The sequence below is a fragment of the Homo sapiens genome, chromosome 2 (genome assembly GCF_000001405.40).
Source record: "Homo sapiens chromosome 2, GRCh38.p14 Primary Assembly".
Lineage (NCBI taxonomy): Eukaryota > Metazoa > Chordata > Mammalia > Primates > Hominidae > Homo > Homo sapiens.
Window position 1 is genome coordinate 128,153,063 of NC_000002.12, and position 19,214 is coordinate 128,172,276.

Below are 19,214 nucleotides of genomic sequence, written 5' to 3' on the forward strand. Positions count from 1 at the left end.
TTCATAATATGAGATTCTAAATTCACAAGAGTTTCCTCCTAAAGAAGAAAACATCTTCTGGGCAAAACCCTGTGAACTTTGAAAAATATTTAGTGCCATTTAAATGCCAACTAAACAGACAATAGATGATGAGAATGGACCTGGATTGTTCGCTTCTCTAGTCATAAAGCAGTTCTCTTTCTTCATCCTCATTCTAGAGTCAGTCAGCCATAATGTCAACAAATATCTCAGTGAATTTTACTCTGAGAACTTAGGAAGGCCTTTAGCAGCTTCATCAAGATATGATGTATATGCCATAAAACTCAACCTTTTAAAGTATACAATTCAATGGTTTTTTTAATGAAAAAAACCCCACAAAGTTTGTGCAGTCATCACCACTGTCTAATGATACATCATTATCATCACCCCCCAAAAATTCCCCAGAATTCCATGTACCTATTAGTAGTCACTCTCTGTTCCTCCCTTCCCCTATCCTCTGGCAACAACTAATCTACTTTCTGTGTCTATGGATTTGCCTATTCTAGACATTTCATATAATTGGAAGCCTTTTGTGCCTGGCTTGTTTAATTTAGCATATTGTTAAGGCTTATGCATGTTGTTGTGTATGTCAGCATTTCATTCCTTTTTATAGTCCACTTTATGGATAGTCCACATATATCTGTTCCTCAGTTGGTGGACAGTTGGCAGTTTTCTGCTAGAATACCTTATAAGAGCCAAATATGTTAAGCCCAGGTGCAATTTGTTCCTTGTGCCTTCCTCGAGATTCTGAGGCCTCTTCAGCAAACACCTGGAAATAAGATGGAACTGTCATCACTAGCCCATGAAATCTCACTGGGGAAGGAAAGATGTGTGTAATGAAGTCATAACCAGCTATTTATTGTTATAGTTGAGTATAATGAACATATCAATCTATTTATGGTTGTTAACGTAATGCACTATCTCTAATAGACTTGAAACTGAAAGTTTGTTTTAGGTAGAGGAAAAATACATGTATATATACACACACACACACACACACACACACTCCTATACATAAGCACACACACACTGAGGAAAAAGTGTAAATATAGGCTTATATTTGAGAAAGAAACTACCCAGAAAGTGAGCTTTTTCTTCACAGCCGGGTTTTCCTTTCTTCCCTGAAGTTTCAGTAGAGCAAGGTGAGCGTGTTGTGGCTCTTCATCCTAAGTGTTTATTGTTTTCATCATTTTTATTTAAATTTGAAGGGTTGTCTCTGGAATACACATGAATAAGGAACATAATAGCGGTTTTGTTTTTGAATTTCCTTTTCCATTGAGTGTTGCAGCAATGAGCTATGAAACAGTGCTAGTCCACAGTGGCAAAGTGCCACCTGTCAGCTGAACATAGTGCAGACATCAATTAGGAGGCTCTGGCATCCTCTTGACCTGGTGGTGGTGGCATTGTCACTCAGGTTTCTTTGGCTTTGGCTGTCCTGGAACCTTTTTAGTAGGATACTAATTTTTACCAGCATGGTAAAATTTTTAATTTTATACTAATTTTTATCGGCATGGTGTGCTCTCCCTTCCCCCACGTGATATCATGGACCGTGTGTGACTTATTTTCTACGGTTTTCCTGGATAGTATTCTATGGATAGTAGGTGTTCAGTGTGCATTGTCAAGTGACAGTGTAGATGGATGAGCATGTGCACAGATGAATAAATGAGTGGGTAGGCAGGCAAGCTGTGTCTGACAGACTGTGATGAGAAGACTGACATTTGTATAGGGTGCAATAATGTTTAAGATTGGGGAGATTGTTAGAGACAGAGAGTTTACAGTACTAGGCTGTAAGAAATTACTGGGTAGTTTAGAGCAAGAGAATGACTTGATGAAACTGGAATTCTAGGAATAATAATTTGAGGGAAAATGAGTAATGAGGATTGCCCTTTGACACTAATTGGAGAAGGGACATATGCAAAAAGAGTGAAAATGACCTTTTATTTCTGTTAAGGGTTTAAAAGGTGATATTTTGTTAGACCTGAAAAATAAAAATCAGTTTTCTTACGTATTTTCTCTTTTACCCCTGCTTCCTCTGTAGGAACAGGAAGAGCTTACTCCACTGGTTGGACTAGGGAAGGGAGAAATGAGTTAAGGGGATCTCTTTGAGATTGTCCTCCAGTTGACAAGTGACAGGAATGGGAATAGGATGAATTCAGCCATTAAACTGACACATACTTATATGATAGCTGTGTGAGATATGTATGTTTCCATCAACCTTGTGTCTTTGATGTGTGACTTCAGTAGGGATAGGGGCCATGTTGTGAAGTTGTTCAGTAAACATGGAACTTAATATACTTCACTCACGCATTTCTATAAATCTTATATTATGATCAAGTCAGGTTATCAGTTGAATATTAAGAATAGATTGAACTGGAACTAATATATACGTATTTCATTTTTTCTCCCAGATAACTTCTTTGTGGATGATTATGCTAGATTTACTATCTTGGATTCCCAAGGCAAGACTGCTGCTGTAGCCAATAGTATGAACTATCTGACAAAGAAAGGTAATCCATTTGAGGCTTATTATCTTGCATTCAACATTTTTTTGAAAGTATTTGCATATTCATCTTAATGTGCAAATTAAGAGAGAAAAGGGAAAGAGACTTCATAATTTTTCTTATTTCTTATAAAGCTTTGAGTCTAGAACATATCTATTTAAAGTTTAATTCTTTGTATATTTGTTGAAAGTATATATTTGTTTAAAAATTCAGATGTCTTCATAAATTTTGTATTACCTGTTTTACCTTTTGACTAAAGTCAAAAGGAAAAATATTTCATAGTTCAAATGGAAAAACATTTGTGATGTAAAAATGGGTTAATGAATTAAAAATGACTGTACAGGGTTAATATTATTTTGGGGTTTATAAGATAAAGTTGGTTTTAGAAAGCCTTGTATAATCTTTGAAGCTGATTTTATGCAGAGGTATTTATTTAGGCTAAGATTGTGTAAAATGACGCCCTGTAGTGGCGGACAGATTCTGTCGCCCTCGGGTCAGTGCTTCAGAAAAGCACTGGCTGTTATTTTAAGTCAGCTATTTTTACCGCCTTTTTAAATCCCCGCTGTGGTCTCTCCCCAAGAGAAGTTCTGGTTTCTCAGCTGTATGTAAAGTACAAGCAATTACTCCATTTGGTTCTTTAAAGAAACTGTTTCTTAGGGTACTGGGACAGCGCCATGACACCGACAGGACTAAGCAGCAGGAAGAACCATAGACCGTGTTAGCCATTGTTTAGACTTTCAATTTTTACAGTAGGCATTCATTCCAGAAATGATACTTTTTTTCTACTCTTTTCTCTTTACCTTTGTTCAGGAATGTCCTCCAAGGAAATCTATGGTAACTTAAAACTTCAGAATGTTCTATTTCTTAATTTTCTTCTTTGGTTTCAGTGACCATTGTAATTTAGAATTTATCAACACTTAATTGTACTGTTTCCGGAATCTGTGGGTAACAGGAAGCTATATCAATGTAGATAATTTTTTTTTTTTTTTTTTTTGAGACAGAGTCTCATTCTGTCACCCAGGCTGGAGTGCAGTACCATGATCTCGGCTCACTGCAAGCTCCGCCTTCTGGGTTCAAGTGATTTCAAGTGATTCTCCTGCCTCAGCCTTCCAAGTAGCTGGGATTACAGGCACCCGCCACCACGTCCAGCTAACTTTTTTGTATTTTTAGTAGGGATGGGGTTTTACCATTTTGGCCAGGCTGGTTTTGAACTCCTGACCTCAAGTGATCCACCCTCCTGAACCTCCCAAAGTGCTAGGATTACAGGCGTGAGCCACTGCACCCGGCCAATGTAGATAAATTTTGTATAAACATTTGTAAAGAATTAGTTTCAGAAAATTACAAATTAGTATGATTAAAAATGACAATATGTTACCCACATGTTCAAAGGCTGTTTTTCATTTTACATGCTAACAGATGCCCAGACCAGTGCATTAATCAGTAGAATTAATCAGTGCATGTTCCTAGTCTGTAACTAAACTCTGTGGAAGATTCCCCTGCTTTCCTATAGTAAAGGTTTACGACTTTTTCTTCTATCTTTATTAAGCTTGTCATTTTCTTCTTTTTGCATGGTTCTTACAAATTATTTGGTCAATTTCATTTTCAGAATGTTGAAACACAGAATGTGCTTCTCTCCTCTGACTCAATTAGCTGTTTTTGTTTTTCTACAGATGATTCTTTTATTAGGCCAGTAACTTTTTGGATTGTTGGGGATTTTGATAGCCCTTCTGGACGGCAGTTACTGTATGATGCCATCAAACATCAGGCAAGTATCTATGACTTCATTTTATATTTTTGTTTGTGGCTGTAGTTGTCTTCATGGGCTTCGCTGTGCGGCTAGGATTGTTCAGTGGGAGTTGGGAGTCCTGCTTTCTTAATGCTCGAGGGAACGGAGAATTGTATCTCTAGAGATCTGCCAGCTCTCAAGAAAAGAGATCTAAGACTACAGTATCCAGGCTTTGTTGAACGGGATAGATTCTTATAGAGAAAAAAATAAATAGCGAGATCCTCATCATAGACAAGTTTTATTGCATACCTGTTCATGTTCTTGGAGCAGAGTTGCTCCAACAATTGTGTTGTGTACTGTATCGGGGAGATGGGGTCCTTACCACGACAGAGGTCTGGACATGGGGGCAGTAGCACACAGGAATGGTAGTGTGTGTGTTTAGTAGAAGTAGATCCAGATGCACTGAGGGATACACACATAGGTGTTCTGAAAAGATATGCTGCCATTAATAGTTGGGCTTGAGTGAGTGGCAATGGCAGGTGGTTGGGAAGCAGCTGATTCTTCTGGAGAGTGTCATCGTTAGAGGATGAGATGTCAAAATTCTTTTTCCTGGGCTGTTTCAGTTTGCATCTTCATCCATACCTCACAACCCTCCTCATGGTCCCCTTTCCACCCTGTACCTGGGAAGGTTTACTGAAATAAAGAAATATCCAGGTGGTTTCAGTTTTACTCATATGCCGAGTTCCTTTATTGTTCAAGGAGTGGACCAAATGCTGTGGTCAATTTGAAGTTAGAACAGGGCAGTTCTAGCTAAGGGCGATAGTTATATGTGAAAGGCACTCTAACACAAATGCGTAAATCTTCAAATGGTAGTAGGGTAGGAGAATGGGGAAGGAGAGTTGCATTTTTTAATAACTATTTTAATTGAAGTAAAATGTAGGTTCACAAGAAGTGCTCAAATCATAGGACACACAGTGTCACAAAGAGAACACACTCTTGTGACCACCACTCAGGTCAAAAAATAGAGAATTCTCAAGTTCCTGAAAGCCCTCCCACACTTGTGCCCACCCACACTTGTGCCCAGACACTACGCCTCTTCCCTCTTCTCATATTAGGGAATAGGTTTGCCTATCTTTTAGTTTATTAAAATGGAATGTTATGCAATTTCATTTGTGTTTGGTTTCTTTACCCAATCTTTTGTAAGATTTATTCATGATGTTACAAGTAGGGGTATAGAGTCCTTTTTCATTCTGTAGTATTATATCATATGGCTGTACCACAAAGTTTTATTTGTTTAAGCTATTTGAAGGACAGTTGGGTTTTTAGCTTGGTGCTATTATAAGACTGCTGCAATGAATATTCTCGTATGTCTTTTGGTACACCCAAATATAAATGTCTGTTGCTTATGTTATTGGTACAAGCCCTTTTTTGGCTTTGTGTGTCCTGGGTGTATTCTTCCACTTGGATTCTTGTCTTTTCACCCAGGGAGAGATTGAATTGTACTAGGAATGTGGGAAGGCTGTATGAATGAAGAAGGGTTTGAGGAGAGCACTGAAAACACTTCTAAAACAAGTGCGTTAGAAGAATACAAAATGTGTGGCATAAGAATATAAACTGTGTTGGGTAAAGATAGGACTCTGAGGGTCTGTAATTTATGCTATATTTACCGGGAAGGTAAGAAATGAAGTTGGAAAGGTGGGCTGGGGGCCACTTCATGTAGGGTTTTGAATGCTTGATGATGGCATTTTTAATTTTATTTTGAATGAGGAGGAGAACTATCTGAGACTTTTTTTTTTTTTTTTTTTTTAATGAGACGGAGTCTTACTCTGTCATCCAGGCTGGAGTGCAGTGGTGTGATCTTGGCTCAGTGCAACCTCCACCTCCCGAGTTCAAGCGATTCTCCTGCCACAGCCTTGCGAGTAGCTGGAATTACAGGCGCCCACCACCATGCCTGGCTAATCTTTTGTATTTTTAGTAGAGACAGAGTTTCACTCTGTTGGCCAGGCTGGTCTCGAACTCCTGATCTCGTGGTCCGCCCGCTTTGGCTTTCCAAAGTGCTGGGATTACAGGCATGAGCCACTGCGCCCGGCCTGAGACTTTTAAGAGAGATATTATTTGCTACTTATTGAACATGACTGATGTTAATGCTGCTTTTTAAGTTCAAAAATATCTACAATATGACTCCCGTTTCCCATTTTGTGAACAGAAATCCAGTAACAATGTTAGAATAAGCATGATCAATAATCCTGCCAAAGAGATAAGCTATGAGAACACTCAGATCTCCAGAGCAATCTGGGCAGCTCTCCAAACTCAGACTTCCAACGCTGCTAAGAACTTCATCACCAAAATGGCCAAGGAGGGGGCTGCAGAGGCCCTGGCTGCAGGAGCTGACATTGCGGAGTTCTCTGTTGGGGTAAGGCTCTGAGCCTCTCATGAGGCTGCCCCATTTTGTCTGCCACGGAAGCTCACCCACTGCAGCTTACGTGTCCGGTTCATGATCACGATTTGTCATTTTAGTCCTGAGTCTCAGGGAATTTTTTTTTTTAATTTGGAAGTTTCCCTTTATTACTTTTAACCTTGCCTAGCTTTCATGTGGTGCATGATTTGAGTTTTTGTGTGTTTTAAGTATGGAGCCATTTGTTATGCACAGTTTTTAAGAGAGACAATATGGCTTATTTATAGAGCAAAAAACGGAGATTTGAACCACTTATAGGTTCAAGGCTTATATGTTCTTGATGTGTTTCCAGAATAAGCCTGTGTTTATTCATTTATATTTTATGTTACTTATTTTTTTGACACAGTTTTGTAGTTTTTAAATTTTTTACAGAATGATGAGTATATACTATTTGACGTTTGAGTTAGGAAAACAGGCTGTCACTGGAAATTAGCAGGATTTAAAAATGCAGAGTAAAGGAATGATGAATAGTCTGCTAGTCGAACAAATCACAGGAAAAGATAAGGAAATAGCAGTTACTCTAAGTAGTAGGGAGATGGCGGGGAGACTGGAGAATTGACACATCTTAATGTTAATTATGAAAATTAGTTATTACTTTCCAGGGAAAGAAATTTTTATGGTTTATTCACTGTGTTTATTTGTTTATATGGTTTGCTTAGTAACGACTATTTTTCCTTAATAATGATTACTTTCCTAGGGAATGGATTTCAGTCTTTTTAAAGAGGTCTTTGAGTCTTCCAAAATGGATTTCATTTTGTCTCATGCCGTGTACTGCAGGGATGTTCTGAAGCTGAAGAAGGGACAGAGGGCAGTGATCAGCAATGGAAGGGTGAGGATTTGTCAAGCTTGACTTCACATTAGATCCGTGAACAGTCTTTGCAGCATTCTCCTCTGAAGCTAGTAAACTCTTCAGACAGAGCCACTCTTTTTTCAAAGGTGATTGGGGCTTATGAAGTGCCATTGATGTTTCTGCCTCCTATTTCCAAGGAGCTGTGCTTTTTGACATAGACAAATATCCCCATATGGAGCCTTCCTGCTGTCGGTGAGAGTGTGGTGGCTCTCAGAAAGTCAGTCAGTATGGACTTTGACACATAAAGTAGCCTTTGTTGTTTTTATTCAGGTAGAATTAATGAAAACTACTTTACGATTTTATTTTACTTTGTCCTTGAGGAATTGATAAGTAAATAACTACAAGTATTTGCTTTGGGCTTCACTTTGTATTATTTCACTGATTTTATCTAAACATGTACCTGTCTCAGGTCTTTAAGATGTTCTGGCGTATGAGGTAGCCTGAGGACGCCAGAGGGTTCCTTACCAGCTTGCTGAGTGCAGGCAGCCTTCCAGAGCTAAGCGCCTGCTCTTCTCTCCTTCACAGATCATTGGGCCACTGGAGGATAGTGAGCTCTTTAATCAAGACGATTTCCACCTCCTCGAAAATATCATCTTAAAAACCTCAGGACAGAAAATAAAATCTCATATTCAACAGCTTCGGGTAGAAGAAGATGTGTAAGTTTTGCCATAGGAGGAATTACAGGGGTTATATAATTGGACTTTCCTCATTGATCAGTTAGAATTATATGTTGTTACTCATACTACATATCCCAAGGAGTTTTATTTCCAGTTTAAAATCTAATAATACTCTTCAATTCCAGTTTTAATGTATGCTTCTGTTGAAACAAGATAATTTATTTTGTAGGGTACTATTTAAGGAACTGAACTAGTTCTCTCTTTTTATTTTTATAATTTTTGGTTGTGGAAAATTTCAAATATATGCAGAAGTAAAGAGGCTAGTTTATTTATTACCTGGAATACTTATGTAAAGTGATACTTTTCATCATTATCTATTTGGTTACCCTTCAGTTTTATTTTGTTCAGGAAAGGAAAGGCAGTTTAAATGTTTCTTTTATTTACCAGTGCAGAATACTGAGTTGTTTCCCTTGTATCTTCAAAGGTGATGATGAATTGGTTGTTGTCGGTTTTTAATTTTAATTTTCAGTGTTATTATAAGCTGATGTGTTTTAGTGTGTTATTTTCTTAATGGAAGAAAATAAATTGTTTGGATGGACCCTGGAGTCCATTGTTACATATATGTAGTTTCTGCATTAAATATCAAATGACTATGTAGTTGGAGGATCTATTTCTATGTTTAATTGTTTGAGGAACCACAATACCTTTCCCACAGTGGCTGTACCATTTTACATTCCCACTGGCAATGCTCAAGGGTGCCGGTTTCTCCACATCCTCACAACACTTGTAATTTTCTGGGGGGTTTTTTGTTTGTTTGTTTGCTTTTTATAATAGCCATCCTCGTGGGTATGAAGTGCTGTCTCCTTGTGGTTTGATTCACATTTCCCTAATGATTGGTGATGTTGAGCATCTTGTCATGTGCAGATTGGCCATTTATATATCTTTGGGAAAATGTCTATTCAAGTCTTTTGCCCATTTTTAATTGCGTTTTTTTTTTTTGTCGTTGAGATGTAGCAGTTCTTTATACATTTTGGATGTCACTTTCTTACTAGATACATGATTTGTAAACATTTTCTCCTATTCTGTGGAGATGTGTTCTTTGATGCATAGTTGGAGGATATAAAATTTTAAAGTTCTGCTTGCGAGGTTGCAATGAGCTGAGATTGCGCCACTGCACTCCAGCTTGGGTGACAAAGTGAGACTGTGTCTCCAAAAAAAAAAAGTTCTGCTGGGTTTTTTTCTTACATCATCATGCTGCAGAGTTCAAGAGCATGTTTTAGAGAAGTGTTGACTTGGATAGCTGTCAAAGTCAGCTGTTGCCATGTCTTGTATGACCTGGGAAGAAATCTTTTCTCATTTTGGCCAATACTGGGGCTACAAATAAGGAGGATCCATCCCTCTTACCTCAGTGGCTCCTGAGTGATGCCCCTTGTCCCGACCTGTGAAATGCTTCCCTGATGTAGGTCAGGAGGTACTCGTGACTCGAAGCAGCCATGTCACAGGCATAGGCTTGGTGTGGCATGCTGTTGGACCACTGCAGGGAGCTCCTTGGGGTCTTCTTGGGCTATATAACTGCCAGACTGTGCCTAGAAGACTTGCCTTTTGCCAATGAGAGATGGCTCTCGATCTTTCCTGGGTGAATTTAGGGAAATCAGGTAGTCATGGGGCCAAAAGACTAATGCTAAAACTCTTAGGCTTCCCAAAATTACCTTGTCTGCATCAGGTTTTCATTAGCGCCAGAGCTGCTCCACCTTGGAGTGGCCCCCTTCCCCGTGACAGCCACAGCTATCATTCATGACCCAGTCTGCATCCCCAAGGCTGCCCTGAAGCTTGGCTGTGTATACTTTGATCATTGTTCTTCATCAGCCTTCAGGGAGTTTCTTGTTGGCCTGCTCACTCCAGTCCACGTAACCAAGTGCCCCTTGACATGTTTTGTAACCGTGTTGACACATCACAGGAAGAGAATGGCCTGTATTATATATATTTGGCATTTATATTGAGAAGTTGAACCAAAATAGTTAATTTTATATATTTGCTGGGTTCATAGGAAATGTATGTAGGCTTAATTACAGTTCAAATACATTCACAGTGCTCTTTTAAAATTCTTATTCAGGATTTAGTCTTTGGTTCAGCAAATTGGAGTGTTTTTTTTTTTTTTTTTTCAGGTTTAGTTCAAGATCTTTTTCAGTTAGAAATCAATTTTAGGCTGGGCGTGGTGGCTCACACCTGTAATCCCAGCACTTGGGAAGGCCGAGGCGGGCGGATCATGAGGTCAGGAGATCGAGACCATCTTGGCTAACACGGTGAAACCCCGTCTCTACTAAAAATACAAAAAATTAGCCGGGCATGGTGGCGGGCGCCTGTGATCCCAGCTACTCAGGAGGCTGAGGCAGGAGAATGGCGTGAACCCGGGAGGCAGAGCTTGCAGTGAGCGAGATCGCGCCACTGCACTCCAGCCTGGGCGATAGAGTGAGACTCCGTCTCAAAAAAAAAAAAATTAATTTTAGAAGAGGCAGGGACAATAAAATTCTTTTTAAAGTGGTTTACTTCAGTGTTAATTGTAATAGTGAAATTAGAAACAACACAGATGTTCAGTAGTTGGCTTAATATTTAGATTATTTTGTATCCATAAATGTAACATTATGCAGTCATAAATATATTGAAATAGGCTGGGCACGGTGGCTCACACCTGTAATCCCAGCACTTTGGGAGGTTGAGATGGGCAGATTGTGTGAGCCCAGGAGTTCAAGACCAGCCTGGCCTGTACTAAAACCCTGTCTGTACTAAAAATACATAAAAATTAGCTGGGCCTGGTGCTGCATGCCTGTAGTCCCAGCCAGTCGGGAGGCTGAGGTGGGAGAATCACCTGAGCCTGGAAGGTCGAGGATGCTGAGATCAAGCCCTGGGCAACTAGAGTGAGACCCTGACTCAAACAAACAAACAAACAAACAAAAATATTGAAATATCACTGTATTTATTAACCAAGGAAAGGATTTTTATAATATGTTTTTAAGTGAAAAAGCAGGCTGCCAGTATAATTTGTTTATATGTATTTAAAAGTATAGAATTATGAGCCAAAATATCAGACCTTGTTACTTGATATTATGTGTAATTTCAATTTTTGGCTTTTATGTTTATTTTCCAGTGAATTATTACTCTAATAGTCATAAAAAGTAATAGTTTTAAAAGGACAAGGGAGAATGTAAATAATACTGACAGCCTGTAATGGGCCAGGGCCTCAGCTAGGTGCATTGCAGAGTTGTGCAGTTTTACTAGAGTCATGCAGCGTGGGTGCTGTCTCCATTTCACATGTGGGAAAGTGAGTAACTTCTCCAAGGTTATACCACTAATCACTCTTTCTCATGCCTATCAGTACGGACTTTATACCTTGTTCAAACCATCTTGTTAGAATTCAGTATTTGGGCTGATGATATGTTTGGCAATAATTGGAAAACTTTCAGTTAAAAAGATGTTAAGATTTCTCTAACCCCTTCTTTCAGGGCAAGCGACTTGGTAATGAAGGTGGATGCTCTTCTGTCAGCGCAACCAAAAGGAGATCCAAGAATCGAGTACCAGTTTTTTGAAGACAGACACAGGTATAGAATTAATGTTGAATTTGTGCATATTCTTGAATATTAAACTCTTATGTTTGCTTTACCTCAGCTCCTTCATTTTTCCATATAAGATTTATATATAAGTTCTTACAGGAATTGAACATTTGTTTGGTGTGCAGTTTTCACATGTATATATTTGTGTTCATATATAAAATTCATATGCAAATCTCAGTTGTATGAAAACTGACATTTATTTCTAAATGAATCTGAAATAACTCTGAGTGCACCCTTGTAGTAGAAAATAGACTGCATTTAATTAAACAGAGAAGTTGTACTTTTCTTAAATTCGAGAATAAACACAGGCAGGTCAAGATAGCTCATGCTTGTAATTCCAGCACTTTGGGAGGCCAGTGTGGGAGGATCGCTTGAGCCCAGAAGCTCGAGACCAGCAAACAAAGGGAGACCCTGTCTCTACAAAAAAATTTTAAAACATTAGCTGGGTGTGGTGGCATGTGCATGTTGTCCCAGCTACTCTGGAGGTAGAGGCTGCAGTGAGCCATGATCTCATCACTGCACTTCCAGCCTGAGCAACAGACTGAGACCCTGTCTCACAAAAAAATTAAACAGAGATTGGCTGGGCGTGGTGGCTCATGCCTGTAATCCCAGCACTTTGCGAGGCTGAGGCCAGCGGATCACCTGAGGTCAGGAGTTTGAGACCAGCCTGGCCAACATGGTGAAACCCCATCTCTACAAAAATACAAAAATTAGCCAGTCATGGTGGCAGATGCCTGTAATACCAGCTACTCAGGAGCCTGAGACAGGAGAATCGCTTGAACCCAGGAGGTAGAGGTTGCAGTGAGCAGAGATCGTGCCATTGCACTCCAGCCTTGGAGACAGAGCAAGACTCCATCTCAAAATCATAATAATAGTAAGATAAACAGATTATTAAAGTACTTGTCTCATTCATCTTTTATTGAAAACTTTTTTTAAAAAAAAAAAACAGGGTTTCATTCTGTCATCTGGGCTAGAATGCAGTAGCGTGATCTCAGCTCACTGCACCTTCCGCCTTCTGGGCTCAAGTGATCTTCCTACCTCAACCTCCTGTGTGGAAGAGACCACAGGCGCTTGCCACCATGCCTGGCTAGTTTTTGTATTTTTTATAGAGATGGGGTCTCACTGTGTTGCCCAGGCTGGTCTCAAACTCCTAGGCTCAAGTTATTCATCTGCCTCAGCCTCCCAAGGTGCTTGGCCGAAAACTTTTGTTTTAAATAAGCTTAGCATAGTGAGGGAGTTTGCCTTTTTGTTCTTCACTTTTTTGTTTTGAAAAGTTTAAAACCTAGAAATAGTTGAAAGACTAATATAATGAGCACCCAAATATCCTTCACTTAGATTCACCAGTTGTTGGTGTGTCACATTTGCTTTATCTCTGTCATCTGCACACGTGCATGTTGTGTGCGTGTGTCTGCATGTGTGTGTTTGTGTAGTACTTCTAGTAACTGCTTTAGTAGTTTATTTATATGTTTGCATACACACGGTCATATTTTTTCCTGCACCATTTGGAAATACGTTGCAGACATCCTGATGTAACATGTCTGACGTTTTCCGCATGTGTATCCTGAGTGCTAGGACTTCTCCGCAGTACTGTTAGCTGACCTCAGAAATGTAACCTTGATACAGTAATATTAAAACACAATTTCTGTTCACATGACTCCAGTATCTTTGTAATGACCTTCTACAACTGTTTTTTGTATTTGTTTTGGTCCAGATTACATATTACAGAGTTGTGTCTCTTTGGTCTCCTTTAATCTGGAAGAGTTCTTTGCCATTTTTTTTCCTAGTCTTTTGTCTTTTATGATGACATTTTTTAAGAGTCCAGGACAGTTGTCTTATGGAATGTCTCACAGTCTGAGTTGCTTCCTCATGATTAGATTTAATTGTTTCTAGGAAAGAGCCCTGCGCAGTAATGTATATAGCCTTTGCTGTAGCTGGCAAGTATATACATATACACTGATTGTGCCTCGGAATCCCCAGGGAGGCTTTAAATATAGATGCCTGTGTCCTATTCCTCTGTGTTTCTGAGCTGATCAGTCTGGCATGGATTGGACTTTGGTTTAGTGGGCCTGTGTTTTTTATGACCCATCCTTGTGGGGATCAGGTGTGCGTGGTGAGATCATTTGATGATTGTAGGCTGGAATGGAGGCCCTCTCTGTTTGCACTGGTTGTGTGTCCTAATTTTTTATGTCAGCAGTGGGTGAAGATTCTTATGGCTCCTGGATAATCCTTGTTGAATTTGGCCATTAGCACCCAGATTGCACCCATTTTCTCAACATTTTGTGAACTTTCAGGAAGTAACTCATTAGTCACCAGCGGGAGGAAACCTTTCCTAATCAACCTGCCATCTTGTTTACCCTTCTTGCCCAAGGTAGCGAGTCCTGAGCAAAGACCTCTTCCCTTTTCAGAAATCTTCTTCTCCATGGGTCTCCATGTTTTGTATAATTAAAATACCTTAATTATAAATTCTATTATGAGACAAATTATAATTCCTATTAGAGAAGTTCCTCTTATTGGGAGTTGTGTCAGTTAAATGAATGTTTATTACATTTAACTCAGAAGTTTCTCATTTATGCTAGAAATAGAAAGATCTGAACCATCAGTTATGTATATTCTTGCCCTCAAAGTGTGGTCCATGGACCAGCAGCAAGACATTGTCTGGGAGCCTGTTGGAAATGCAGGCTTTGGACCCACCCCAGTCCTGAGGAATCAGCACCTGCATTTTAACAAGTTGCTCCTGGGGGATTCCCGTGTGCATTCATGCTACTAAGCACAGTATTCGTTGACATTTACTCTACGAACCATAGGCAAATGTGTATAATCTCCAAATCTTGTTCCTGTCTCTGTCACTTTTAGTTTTATTCTGGTCTTTTCTCTGCACAATATAGTGAATACATTTAAACATGATGTTGTTCATATTGTTCCCATTTCCACACAAATACTCCTCTTTCCTTGTTTTTTTTCGAGTCCCTTTTTCTTGTTCTAGAGATGTGGGGTAAGTAAAGGACCTCACAAGGTCAATTTGTGGTGTGCCTGTTGCTGATCACCTAGAACACTGCTGGCTCAGAATGTGAACATGTTGTGTGAATCTCTACCCCAAACCTGGTGTGGGCAGGCATGACCAGATGTTACACTCTTGTGTAGAGTCCTTTTTGAGACTCTCTCTCTGGTTCCCTTGTGAGCCTTTGTATAATGCTATTTTCTAATGAGTTTTTCCTTCTAGAATTCTAGAATAGCAGAGAGGTGCAAATTATATTAGGGCAGTGGCTCTCAAAATTTGGCTTTTACTTAGAGTTTGTTAAAATGCAGATTGCTGGACCCGTCCCCAGAGTTTCTGATTCAGTAAGTCTGGGTTGGATCCTGACTTGCTTCTCACAAATGCCCAGGGGAAGCTGATGCCACTGCTCTGGAGTCACACTTTGAGAACAGTTGTATTAGAGTAACAGAAGTTTTGTTGTGTTAGAAGAATAATGATTGGCAGTGGACTTAATCTGAAATTGTTAATAATGCCAGAGATCGAAAGCACCTACCTCAACACAGATACAAAGCTATTCTCATGGTTATTTCCAAAGCAGTGAAGATGTGAAGTAACCTCCATGAGCATGTAAATTGTTTCCAGTTTTCTTCGTTATGCTGTTTTGTGGTATTCTTTTGTATTCATCCCACTTAGGTAAATGTTGTTTGGTAAAAAAAAAGTAAAAGTAGTGGTTAGTATTGTAACCACATTATAGTATTGTTCAGAGCAAACAAAGTATAATGGTTTAAACAGTTAATGGTTTTCAAAAATTGGGTATAATTTTAAATCCTTTCAAGTTGAGTCCTTTTAAAAGTTCATTAGAGGTTCCTGCTCCTTTTAAGTCACCAGTCTGTGTGACTTCACAGGGAGTCCATGCAACAGGAAGTTACCATTCAGTTAAGAACAGACAAGGGGGCTGGGCATGATGGCTCATGCCTGTAATCCCAGTGCTTTGGGAGGCCAAGGCAGGCAGATCACTTGAGGCCAGGAGTTCAAGACCAGCCTGGCCAACATGGCAAAACACCGTCTCTACTAACAATACACAAATTAGCTGGGCATGGTGGCATGTGCCTGTAATCCCAGCTACTTTGGTGGCTGGGGCGCGAGGATTGCTTGAGCCGGGGAGGTGGAGGTTGCAGTGAACCGAGATCACGCCACTATACTCCCAGCCTGGGTGAATGAGCGAGACTCTGTCTTTAAAAAAAAAAAAAAAAAAAAAAAAAAAAAAAAAAAAAAAAAAAGACAAGGACCAGGTGTGGTGGCTTATGCCATTGCTTTGAGAAGCCAAGGCAGGAGGATCACTTGAGGCCAGGAGTTTGAGACTAGTCTGGTCAATATGGTGAGACCCGTATCTCTACAAAAAAATATAAATTAGCCCGGCATGGTGGCATGTGTCTGTAGTCCTAGCTACTTAGGAGGCTAAGTTGAGAGGATCATTTCAACCCAGAAGTTAGAGGCTTCAGTGAACCATGATCACGCCACTGCACTCCAGCCTGGGCCACAGAGTGAGACCTTGTCTCTAAAAAAGTAAATAAGGAAAAGAACAGGCAAAATATCTATCTATAACTTAATGCTGACGAAGGATGTGGTGAAATTTATTTTTTGGCCTTGTAAATTTGTTTAGTTCTTCAGGAAATGTGGTTGACAATACTTATTAGCCGCAAAGTATTTGTATCCTTTGTCTCCATAATCTCATGTCTAGCACTTCCTTGACTCTAAAGAAATTTCCAAATGTGGAGAAAGTTGGTTGTACAAATTGTTTACAGGTTGAAAGCCATCTCTATGTCCAGCAGTAAAGAAAAGCTGGAGTAAACTCTGACAGCTTCATTTGGTGAATAGCATATTATTTCTTATAGAGGATGCTTGTTGTGTAACAGCATGTGGAAATCTTTATGCTACAGTAGTGAGAGACGGAAGGAAATTGTTTTGAAATTGCTAATCTGTATCTACAACTAATGTTTATACAGGCATCTAGAAAGGATTACGTAGAGATGCAGCTAAGTGGGCTGGGATAGTGAATATTTTGTGATTATATTTTTCCTTTTTCTTTGTTTTGCAGGTTTTCTGGAATGTTCTTTCATTATTTTTTAAAAATTGATTTATTCCTTTTCTTTTTGTACTCTTCTTGCCAAGAAGTAAAAACTGGCATAATGTTATCAGAAGCTAACTTCAGTAGCTTTTCTCAGTTTTTGGTTAAATACAGTTTCAAGCTGCTTTTCCTCTCTTTACATGGACCTTTCAGTCCATTTCAGATCCATTATTAAGGTTTTGCAATCTTTGGGATAGACAGAATCATATAGTTGGCCACTGTCATAGTCTAGTCTTTCTAGATCTAAAGTTCTTTGAAATGCTAAGAAGGTTGAAGGTTATATTGTACAAAAAAAACTTTTGTTTCCTGTGTCCTCCAGGTTAATGTTTTATCCTTGTGATCTTTCAGTGCAATCAAACTGAGGCCGAAGGAAGGGGAGACATACTTTGATGTTGTGGCTGTCGTTGACCCTGTCACCAGAGAAGCACAGAGACTTGCTCCTTTGCTCTTGGTAGGAACGCTGTGCAGGAAGTGTACATCACCTTTGTTTGAAGTTGTCACATGCTCTGAAATTCACTGAGAGCTTCGTTTTCCTTGAGTTGCCTTCAACAGGCACTGGACAATGCTATGGGGTTCTAGGGCAGAGCAATCTTTACAAAGATTGACAGTGGCTGTGAAACAGCCTCACAGCCCTAGAAAGTTGGTGCAAGTGTGGTTGGCTGCCTCATGTAATTTAAAAAAGTGATTAACATCCTCATTTAGAGTAAAACATCCTGGAATTAAGGTATGCTATATTTTAATTTATAATATCAGAGATAAAATAAATATGTTTTTTCATTTTTCCTTTTTTATAACTACCATGGATTTTTTGTCTTGGCATGTCTTTTAGACATGTACAGTGTGTTACAATTTTAGGACATTTAAAAGACCTTTGACAAAGACAGTCGCTCCAACATTCATTGCCGAATAAATCTCTAACCTTTTTTGTGAGTATTGGTATCTCTGTTTTTTCATCCTTTGGCATGTGAGCGGTGACTCTGAGGCCTGTAGTTTTTCCATGATCTGCCTGCTGCTTCCCCACAGGAACTGCCTTCGTGTGAGGAGCAGTGAGCTGCAGCAGCCTACTTCCCATTGCTTTTGGCCACGTCCTATGTATGTGTGATGTAGATTGTGCAGTAGAGTTGTGATTTCCAGAAGTTTCGCCAGTGCAGACTCTGTGGCTGTTATCTTTATATCTTTTCTTGAGATATTAATAGCTCAGTGTCAAATAATAAATTTCTGAAGAAAAAAATCCTAAATATTTTGTCATCTGGTTTTCCTTCTAGGTTTTGGCTCAGCTGATAAACATGAATCTGAGAGTATTTATGAACTGCCAATCCAAACTTTCTGACATGCCTTTAAAAAGGTAAAACATGCTATGTAAGAAAACAGTTGAAGAAATTGTACTGAATCCAAGTTCTGATATTGCATGTTAGAGGATCAGATGGATTTATAGGTGGACATCATGTTTGAAATGGTCATTTACTAAATGTTCAGTTTTGCCAAATTTCATTCTAATCAGAAGTTCTAAGAACATAGTGTGTTTGTAGCATTTAGGTGGCATTAACCCAGGCTGCTTGCATTTGTGCCTTTTCTTTCTTTTTTTCGAGATGGAGTCTCGCTCTGTCGCCCAGATTGGAGTGCAGTGGCATGATCTTGGCTCACTGCAGCCTCTGCCTCCCGGGTTCAAGGGATTCTCCTGCTTCAGCCTCCTTAGTAGCTGGGATTACAGGTGCACACTACCATGCCCAGCTAATTTTTGTATTTTTAGTAGAGACGGGGTTTCACCATGTTGACCAGCCTGGTCTCGAACTCCTGACCTCAAGTGATCCGTCTGCCTCACTTCCCAAAGTGCTGGGTTTACAGGTGTGAGCTACCACGCCTGGCCCCATTTGTGCTTTTCATCTTAAAAGAAGAATATTCATTTCAAGTTGGAATATACATGTTAGAGGAAGCTTGCTTAGCTATATATTGTCATGAGCTTTGGAATGGTCATTTATGAAAAAAGTGATACAGAAAGCAGTTAGCGTTGTGGCTATGGGAAATTTCTAACTTGCCAGTGTGCTGTGTTTTATAGGTTAGCTTCTAAGTGGATTGAAACAGCATTTGAAAGTAACCAAAGGGTTCCCAGCTTCCACCATTATTCTCGTATAGGGGAAATGTTTACATTATTAGTGTTTTCAGGACTAGCCTGAGAGCCCAATCAGTATTTAGGAATTGGTTTTAAAGAGAAAAATGAGTCCTCCTTGAAGGGAGGAAAATGCCCAGGACCTAACTGTGACCCTGACAGCCATCCATGTGAACGAGTGGCCTCCGTTCAAGTGATTGGATTTTGGCTTGCAGGTGGACAGTATAGTG

The 19,214-nt window shown here is 39.5% G+C and overlaps 1 protein-coding gene across 12 annotated transcripts in view; it reads left to right on the forward strand.

The window, feature by feature from the left end:
- Positions 1-19,214, forward strand: part of UGGT1 (UDP-glucose glycoprotein glucosyltransferase 1) — a 104,478-nt gene that overhangs the window by 61,863 nt on the left and 23,401 nt on the right. For 8 of the 12 annotated variants that reach the window (NR_027671.3, NM_020120.4, XM_006712634.4 and 5 more), the window contains 9 exons: positions 2,427-2,525; positions 3,330-3,353; positions 4,190-4,284; positions 6,452-6,658; positions 7,398-7,529; positions 8,076-8,206; positions 11,668-11,763; positions 17,226-17,328; positions 18,143-18,222. Coding sequence is in view for 11 of the 12 variants with exons in the window: in NM_020120.4 (NP_064505.1) it covers positions 2,427-2,525; positions 3,330-3,353; positions 4,190-4,284; positions 6,452-6,658; positions 7,398-7,529; positions 8,076-8,206; positions 11,668-11,763; positions 17,226-17,328; positions 18,143-18,222 (967 nt within the window). In the remaining variant the exon portion in view is untranslated. Of the gene's footprint in view, positions 1-28; positions 886-2,426; positions 2,526-3,329; positions 3,354-4,189; positions 4,285-6,451; positions 6,659-7,397; positions 7,530-8,075; positions 8,207-11,667; positions 11,764-17,225; positions 17,329-18,142; positions 18,223-19,214 lie in introns of those variants that run through there. The other 4 variants (XM_006712635.5, XM_047445121.1, XM_047445122.1 and 1 more) reach the window with 2 other exon arrangements.